Below are 8,595 nucleotides of genomic sequence, written 5' to 3'. Positions count from 1 at the left end.
GTGTGTGTGTGTGTGTGTGTCTGTGTGTTGAGAGGCTGCCGGTGAACAACGGAAGAGCAGGGGCTGAGGCTGGGAGCTGGCAGCAGGCTTGTAAATCATTATTATTATTACTACTATTTTAGAGACAGGGTCTAACTCTGTTGCCCAGGCTGCAGTGGCGGTGATGATAGCTCACTGCAGCCTCAAACTCCCGGGCTCAATCAATCCTCCTGCCTCAGCCTCCCAGAGTGCTGGAATTACAAGCATGAGACACTGTGCCTGACCTGTGAATTATTATACAGTAACTGCTCCTTTAATTATATGCATCTCATTGCAAATGTAAGAGCAAGAGAGGGCCTCCTGGACCTCCCAGTGCCTAGCAGTTCGAAACTATCTGCTGCATGAATTTGATTGAAGAGGGCATGCCGTGATCTTGTTTCTAGACAGGTCTGGGGTTGTCTCAGCCACATCAGAGGCTGCCTGCAGCCCATCGTCCATTCCTAGGTCTTACATCTTCCCACTTCCGTTTTTCTGCAAATGGGGAGAAACACCAACAAAAGTCCTGGCAACATGTAAGAAGGAGGCAAAGAACATGCAGGGAGGCCCTGCCCAGTGGGTTCTTGTTACTCTGGACATATGGAGTCAACCCCAGCTTTTCCCTCCAAAGCCCCTGACACTGCCTGGATTCTGCAGGGTGAAATGCCTGGGTTCTGCAGGGTGAGACGGCAGTGCTGTCCTATTTCCTGGCAGTTGCAGGAAACAGAACCATTCTGATTACTGGCAATGGCGGAGGCCACTCTTTTGAGTTCTGAGTAACTCTGGGATCAGTGCCCAGCTCAGCACAGGAATAAAGAAGATATCCAGCTGAAGACTCACACTGCCACAGGGTCTGGACAGGTTTTTCCAGAGCCTCTGAAAGAAAACTGGGCTGCTCACCACATTCTCTTACAACCTGCTCGCACTCATCCCTGAGAGCACACACACAGTCTATACCATATGCTCTGAAATACACATGAACCTTCTCAGAGATATGAATACATGCTTATGAGAAGCCCCCAGCCCAGTGCTCCCTCCCTGCCAAATGTCCCAGACACCTGCATCTGAGTGCCCAGGCGTACAGACATCCTGGGAGGCTGAGACAGACAGCCGACGTCCCTCCAGGGAGCCTGGCACATGTGATTTTCAGACAAGGCATAAGTTACTGCCTCCTTCTCTGACATTAAGGAACAGCTTCCTGGCAGCAGTCCCCAGATCCCGTCCTAATCCTGGGGTTGGCTCTGGCTGCTCAAAAGAACTACTTTCAGGTTTCTGATGGTAACCAGGGGGAGCTATACAGGCTCACCTGTGGCTTATCTGATCTTCAATCCATTTTTTCACCCCCAGCAGGCCTGGCATTAAACACAACACAGGAGTAGTGACAGGGCTGTAAAAGCAGGTCCACTTTATTTACAATGATCAGTGACACATAGATCTTTGGGCTTTTTGTGGTCTTGCGGAGACACCTGGGTGGGGGGCCCACTCCCTTGGTTGGTTAACACACCCTCCTTCCTCATCCTGCTGGGAGAATCCACTGCTGTCAGGACCCACCTGCTCTGAGGAGCCTCGACTTGGGAGCAACTCTGCTGCGTCTACTTTCTAGGTAGTCAGTGTCCTAAGCACCTGCCAAAGGTTCTCCTTACCTCCTTTGGGAGCCCCATCTTGGTCCTGGTTGTGGGGCACCTAGGAGGGGGCCACACACATCCGTCTGCAGAGAGATGGGATGGGCAAGGAATCCCCTGGGGGTGCCAGGGCAGAGGCGTGGGCAGCGGCCTGGTGCAGGGCTGTTACCTGGCCTAACCTGTTGTTTGAACGTCGGTAGGACTCTCCCAGTGTTCTCCAGAGGCAGAGCAGTGAAGTCACAGGAGTCCTCCAAGGCGTAGAGAGGCGGGGCTTGGGCGTGAGAATTCCTCCCTGTGTGTATAGCAGCGGACTCTGCCCACCGCCGGCCCGGCCCCAATTCTCCCCGGCCGCTAGATTCTTCTCCTACAAGAATGCCTCTCCAGGGTCATTTTTTTTTGCACAGGGAAGAAGGCTAGAGGGACCAAGGGCAAGGTCACTGCCTCCACCCTGCCCAGGGTCCAAACCCACCCCTCCTGATTTCTTGAAACTTCTCCTCCCTTCTCTTGAGAGGATGTTTTGGGAGGGAATGAGGAGGTCTGTGGGCAAAGAGACTAGGTGTAAAGCATAGGGGGCGGGTCCACAATGGCAGGCCCGGGAAACTCCGGGTGTGGGGAGAGAGGAACACCCCCCAATAACCAAGGGCGTATCAGGCATCACCCTGAGCCAAAATGAGGCGGCGGGGCGGACAACACGGAGACCACGGGGGAGACACGGGCCGGGGGCCGGGGCAGCCGAAGCGGGCAGGGCCGGGGTTGGAGGCTGTGAGTCTGGCGGGTCGGGCCTGGGGCTGCGAGTCCTGTCCTTCGGCTCTCAGCGCGCCTGGCCCGCCCGCTCCCTGGGGCCGGCCTTCCAGCGGCGGGGCTGCGCGGGCGGCGGGGGCGCCGGGGCGCCCCGCAGGCTGCACGTCCTCAGCTCCCGGGCCAGGCTGAGCACCTCCGGCCGCTCGCGCTGGGGGACTCCTCCCTCTTGCTCCTCCGCGTCGTCCTCCTCCTCCTCCTCGTCCTCCTCCTGGATGCTGCTGAGGCGCGGCGCCCCGCGGCTGCGCTCGCTCGGCGGCGGCCGGTAGGCGCACTTGGCATTGAGCAGGCGGCGCAGTGGGGCGCGGGGCACCGAGGCGGCGGCGCCCCCAGCGCGGAGATGCTGCTGGCGCACGTGGCGCGCGTCGCTCTGGCGCTGCAGGCGCTTGAAGTCGCTGAAGGCCGCCAGCGCGGTCTGGCGGAGCAGGCGGGCCAGGGCGCGCGCCTTGTGCGCCCGCGCCAGCAGCACAGCGTGGCAGCGCAGCACCACGGCCTTGTGGCGCGCCTGGTGGCGGTAGACCCAGGCGAAGACGCGCGGGTGGCGCCCGTCCGCCGTGCAGTAGGTGATGCGCGGCAGCAGGTAGGCGTGCGCCGGCCTGCGGCCCCCCGAACCCCCGGCGGCGCTGCGCTCGCACGGCTGCATGCGGATGCCGTGCGGCCCCAGCGTCAGCTTCATCTTAGTGCCCCCGCCAGGCCCGCAGCGAGCCCAGATCTTGCCCACGGCGTCGTCGGTGCAGCCGTCGCCCTTGGCGTGCAGGGTGACGGCGTTGCCCAGGTACCACACGGTGTAGGTCGGGTCCTCCTTGTTGAGCTCCACTTTCTGGCGCCGGCTGCGGAACACACGGCCCAAGCGCTCCAGCGGCCAGTCGGGCAGCAGGTCCGGGCAGGAGCGCAGGAAGCTGGAGAGCAGCGACGTGTAGGCGAGCCCCGGACTCAGGCTCTTCGCCTTGCACTTGGCCTCGTCCTCCACCAGCACGAATTTGTTACGTCTCCAGGGCAGCATCGCGGCGGCGGCGAAAGGGGCTGGGGGCGCAGGGAGCTCACCGGCGTCCTGTCGGGAGACCGGGGGAGGGAAGGCGCGCAGAAGTCCACCGCCCTGGAGTCGCGAGAAGCTGGGCAGGGCCGGGGACAGTCGTTGCCTGGAGATGCCCAGTGCCAGGCAGGGCTAGCTTCGCAGATGCCCGGTGCCCAGCCGGGCCAGCAGCCGAGGTGCGGACGGCGGCCGAGTGGCTGAGGACCGCTTTTCCCGGGAGTGTCTCCAGCCGTCTGGGAAGCGAGGAGGGGCCGGGGCTGGGGGTGAGGTGGGCTGGACGTCCACCAAGCCCAAACGGTGGGATTTCCGCGGTCCCTGCCGCCGCAATTTGGGTCGCCGGAGCCGCTGGCGGCTGCTTAGTGGGGCAGACCGAGAGCGCGGCTGCGGTGGGGACTCCTTCAGGCGTCGCGGCTCCACCTCCCCGGGCTGCCTACATCACCGGGCGGGACCGCTAGCTCTCTTGTCCCCTCCCCTTGCCCTCTTCTCCCCTCCCCCCACGCAGGCTCGCGCTGCCCGGGACCCTGCACAGGCGCGGTGGAACGGGTTTAATCATTATTAGTGGAGGGGTGGGGGTAGAGAGGGCTGTTAAGTACTAGGAATCCCCTGAAATATACAGGAGGGCTTCGTCCATGCTAATTTATTTGGCCTCGCTACTGGTCTCCAAGCTCCCCTTGGCGCATTCGGGAACCCCCGCGCCCCACGATTCCTGCTGCCCCTCACCCACAGCATGTCATTACCCCCATCTCTGAGAGTGGGAGTTAGGGGGTGTTCCTGAAGGGGCTGGCCTGGCGCACTTTGCCTCGTCTGCACAGCACAAAGCCAGCCGAGGTGGCCGAGCAGTGCAGTGGAAAAGTACTGTCGCTTGGTGAAGCTTTCTCCCAGGTTCTTCCAAGGTCGTGGGCCAGACCGCTGGGCCTGAGCTGAGAGACCTGGCCGCTGCTGCAGTGGCTGGCAGTGCCCCTCGCCTGGTCTGAAGCAGGGAGGGTACTCTTGGAGGGTGGGGGAAACTTTCAGAACAGGGTCTGTGGTAATTGCAGTTGAAAAGCTCCTTCTGGCGAAAGGGCAGCCTCTGGGCGCATGATTAAATAAACTCCTATTTGTGAACTCCTGTGAGTTCCCAGGGGTTTAGCATTCATTTTCTTATTTAATTCTTGGAACAAGCCCAGGCTCAGTTAAATGACTGGCCCAAGGTCTTCAGGCTGGTAGGAGGTAAAACTAGGGCTCCACTCAGGCCCTGGTGACCCAGGGGCTGCCCCCAACCCTCCATGCTCCCCGGGACCTCCTAATGAGAAGTGATGAGGACCTGCTAGGGAGGAAGTTCTGATATACTGAGAGACAGTTGTCCCTGGGTGTGGGGACACAGCTCCCTCTTTCAAGATTGGTTAAGCCACAAGCTCCCTAGAACTCCAGGACTGCTCTGATATGACCAGGAGTCTTGTTGCCTTGGGCTCTCACAGAGTCAACACTCAAGCTCTTTCCTTGGCTTCTGAACAGGTCATCTGGGGTGGTGTCCAGGTCAGGAGTGAACCCAGGTCTGGGCTGGAGCTGAATTGAGAGCTTGGGCTGGGCCAAGCCAAACCACATGACCTCCGAGAGTGGGAGCAGTGGGAAGATTTGGGAAGACAGTGTGTGCTATCTCGGCCAGCAACATCCTGCCAGTGGGTAGGAGTGAGTGTCTGGGTCAGAATCCCTGGGGGAATATAAGTAAAATAACAAACCACAACAAGAAAATAATATGCAAATAAAGAACAGGAAATTACTCCGAATTGCAGTATCTTTGGTTTGGAGGGTGCCTCCCAGATGATCTGGTTGGTTGTAGCCTCGGTTCATTTTTAATATGGAAATATCTTTATCACCTTTTGCTGATTATAAAAGGAAGATGTGCTTGTGGTAAAAATTCACAGAAGAAGGACATGAAAGTAAGTCTCCTACTGTTCCCCACCCTGCAGATGTGGTCTCATTTCCCAGGGGGAGAGAACAGGCTCTGAGAAGCCAGTGATCATTGCAGTGCTTTCCATGGCGCTACATTTGTCTCCTGGGCCAGTGGAGACATTAACTCAACCAAATCCCTTTATGGAAAGGACTTCATGTGGTTTTGACCTGAAAGTCAGTTCACTGTAAAATTCTGCCGTATCCTGTCTTGAGTCTCCTAGGGCTGTTCTCTGGACCTTGCCACTGGGGGTTCCCTCTCCCCGCTGGCAGTGGGCTGGTGGGAGTGCTCAGAAGCAAAGCCTCAGCTTGCAAGGCAGAGAAAACTGCAAGCTTTTTTTTTTTTTTTTTTTTTTTTTTTTTTTGAGACAGGGTCTTGCTCTGTCTCCCAGGTTGGAGAGCAGAGATGACTGCTCACTGCAGCTTGACGTCCCAGGCCCAAGCTATCTTCCCATCTCAGCCTCTTGAGTAGCTGGGACCATAGGCATGCACCACCATGGCTGGCTAGTTTTTAAAATTTTTCTGTAGAGGCCGGGCATGATGGCTCATGCCTGTAATCCCAGCACTTTGGGAGGCCGAAGTGGGCGGATCACCTGAGGTCAGGAGTTCGAGACCAGCCTGACCAACATGGAGAAACCCCGTCTCTACTAAAAATACAAAAATAGCCCGACGTGGTGGCGCATGCCTGTAATCCCAGCTACTCGGGAGGCTGAGGCAGGAGAATCGCTTGAACCCGGGAGGCGGAGATTGCGGTGAGCTGAGATCGCATCATTACACTCCAGCCTGGGCAACAAGAGCGAAACTCTGTCTCAAAAAAAAAAAAAAAAAATCTGTAGAAACAGGTTCTATGTTGCCCAGACTGATCTCAAACTCCTGGACTCAAGCGATCCTCTCGCCTCAGCCTTTTATATTGCTAGGATTATAGGTATGAGCTACCAGGCCTGGCTGAACTCCAGCTGTTGATGGAAGGAAGGTGTAACCAGCCCCTTAGGCTTGCTAGAGTTAACATATAAAGACACAGAAAATGTCACTAAATGTGTTTTGGAGAAACATTTTTTTTTTTTTGAGACAGCGTCTCACTTTGTCACCCAGGCTGGACTGCAGTGGTACTGTCTTAGCTCACTGCAACCTCTGTTTCCTGGGCTCAAGCCATTCTCATGCCTCAGCCACCCAAGTAGCTGGGATTATAGGCATGTGCCACCACACCCAGCTAACTTTTGTGTTTTTAGTAGAGACGGGGTTTCACCATGTTGGGCAGGCTGGTCTTGAACTCCTGGCCTTGAGTGATCCACCTGTCTCTGCCTCCCAAAGTGCTGGGATTACAGGTGTGGGCCACCACCCCTGGTCAGAAACAGCATTGTAAAGTCTAAGTATGTCTCAAGTATTGCATGTATCTGGCAACCCTAAGCCTCCTGCCTACCAGCAGGCTAGAGATCAAGTGGCCATAGGTACATGTGTGCTGCACATTGAAGGTCTCTACTCTCTCTGGAGCCTGCCCCACTTTCCTTAATCCTGGTGATGTGGCTTCTATTCCCATTGTTCTTTGGAGAAATTCTCAGGGGATGGGGAGGGCATCACCTGGGACTGTGAGATCACAGCAAGCCCAGTAGTCTGTTTTTATGTTACAATCCCTTGACCTCAAAGCAAGCTTGGTCTTGGGCATTCTGTTCTTCCTGTAACCTTTTTCCTATAGAGCAGCGGTCCCCAACGTTTTTGGTACCATTTTGGTACCAGTTTCATGCAAGACAATTTTTCCATGGAGGGGAGGGGGATGGTTTCAGGATGAAACTGTTCTATCTCAGAACATCAGGCTTTAGTTCGATCCTTTTTCCTTTTGTTTGTTTTTGAGATGGAGTCTTGCTCTGTCACCCAGACTGGAGTGCAGTGGCACAATCTTGGCTCACTGCAACCTCTGCCTCCCAGGTTCAAGTGATTCTCCTGCCTCAGCCTCCGGAGTAGCTGGGATTACAGGCACATGTCACCACACATGGCTAATTTTGTATTTTTAGTAGAAACAGGGTTTCACCATGTCCGCCAGGCTGGTCTCAAACTCCTGACCTCAGGTGATCCACCCGCCTCAGCCTCCCAAAGTGCTGGGATTACAGGCATGAGCTACCACACCCGGCCATCAGGCATTAGATTTGCATAAGGAGCATGCAACCTAGGTCCCTTGCATGTGCAATTCACAATAGGGTTCACGCTCCTATGAGAATCTGATGCTGCTGCTGATCTGACTGGAGGTGGAGCTGAGGCAGTAATGTTCGTTTGCCTGTCGCTCACCTCCTGCTGTGCGTCCCAGTTCCTAACTGGCTACAGACTGGTACCGGTCGGCAGCCGGGGGGTTGGAGACCCCTAGTATAGAGGGCTCAGCTGCCCTCTGGGCTTCCACCATCCTTTCTATTTAGATGTCTCGAAAAGCTGGTCTGGTCCCAGTCATGGAGGCTGAACTCATCATGAATGGGACCAGGGCTGCCTTCTCTGTTTTCTCTTGATTCCTTTCCTTGGTAAGAGCTCCCAGCCTGGCACCAGGTTGTCACTACTTCATAGACTGGCATGCAGTTGGATCTTTTCTCTTTTTTCAAACATCATTACCATATTTATACTAATATTAATTTAAAAAGCCAAATACCTGGCTTATAGTAGGCTTATAATTTAAAACAAATCAATCCCTTACCCCACCCTTTTTTAGTCTCAATTCCCACTTCCACAGACAACCACTCTTCTATACATTTTATTTTTTTGAGACGGAGTCTGGCCCTGTCACCCAGGCTGAAGTGCAGTGGCGTGATCTCAGCTCAATGCAACCTCTGCCTCCCGGGTTCAAGCAATTCTCCTGCCAAGTAGCTGGGACTACAGGCGTTCGCCACCACACCCAGCTAATTTTTGTATTTTTAGTAGAAATGGGGTTTCACTATGTTGGCTAGGCTTGTCTCAAACTCCTGACCTCAAGTGATCCGCCCACCTCGGCCTCCCAAACTGCTGGGATTACAGGCGTGAGTCACCGCACCTGGCTTTTCTATACATTTTAGATGGCATTTCTGTCATATGCCTCCATATCTCTGACCCTTCTAATTCAGACATTTCAGTTTTTAAATTCTTATATATTGTCTCCCTGTTAGAGAAGATGAAGAATGTTGTCCTTTTATCCACCCCCATCACACATAGTTTTCCTCCTCCCTCCCTCCCAGTTGAGTTAGA

General features: G+C 55.4%; 1 protein-coding gene across 1 annotated transcript, besides 1 other annotated feature; it reads right to left on the bottom strand.

Annotated features, from left to right (window-relative positions):
* Positions 1–1,391: 1,391 nt before the first annotated feature.
* Positions 1,392–3,839, bottom strand: FAM43B (family with sequence similarity 43 member B). The gene has a single exon (NM_207334.3). The coding sequence runs from the start codon at positions 3,436–3,438 to the stop codon at positions 2,449–2,451; it is 990 nt and encodes a 329-aa protein (NP_997217.1). The 5' UTR covers positions 3,439–3,839; the 3' UTR covers positions 1,392–2,448.
* Positions 3,945–4,805: an enhancer, noted in NCBI's record as "H3K4me1 hESC enhancer chr1:20878100-20878960 (GRCh37/hg19 assembly coordinates)". NCBI's record gives its function as "activates a minimal SCP1, AML or CMV promoter by ChIP-STARR-seq in naive H9 embryonic stem cells {active_cell/tissue: H9 hESC(naive)}" and the evidence as "EXISTENCE:reporter gene assay evidence [ECO:0000049][PMID:30033119]".

This window comes from Homo sapiens, chromosome 1, assembly GCF_000001405.40.
Source record: "Homo sapiens chromosome 1, GRCh38.p14 Primary Assembly".
Lineage (NCBI taxonomy): Eukaryota > Metazoa > Chordata > Mammalia > Primates > Hominidae > Homo > Homo sapiens.
The sequence above is the reverse complement of the archived record's forward strand: the minus strand, read 5'-3'. Positions and strand labels throughout refer to the sequence as shown.

Excerpts from the sequence above, each read along its gene's own strand:
- FAM43B (NM_207334.3), bottom strand. The coding sequence starts at position 3,438 with ATGCTGCCCTGGAGACGTAACAAATTCGTGCTGGTGGAGGACGAGGCC.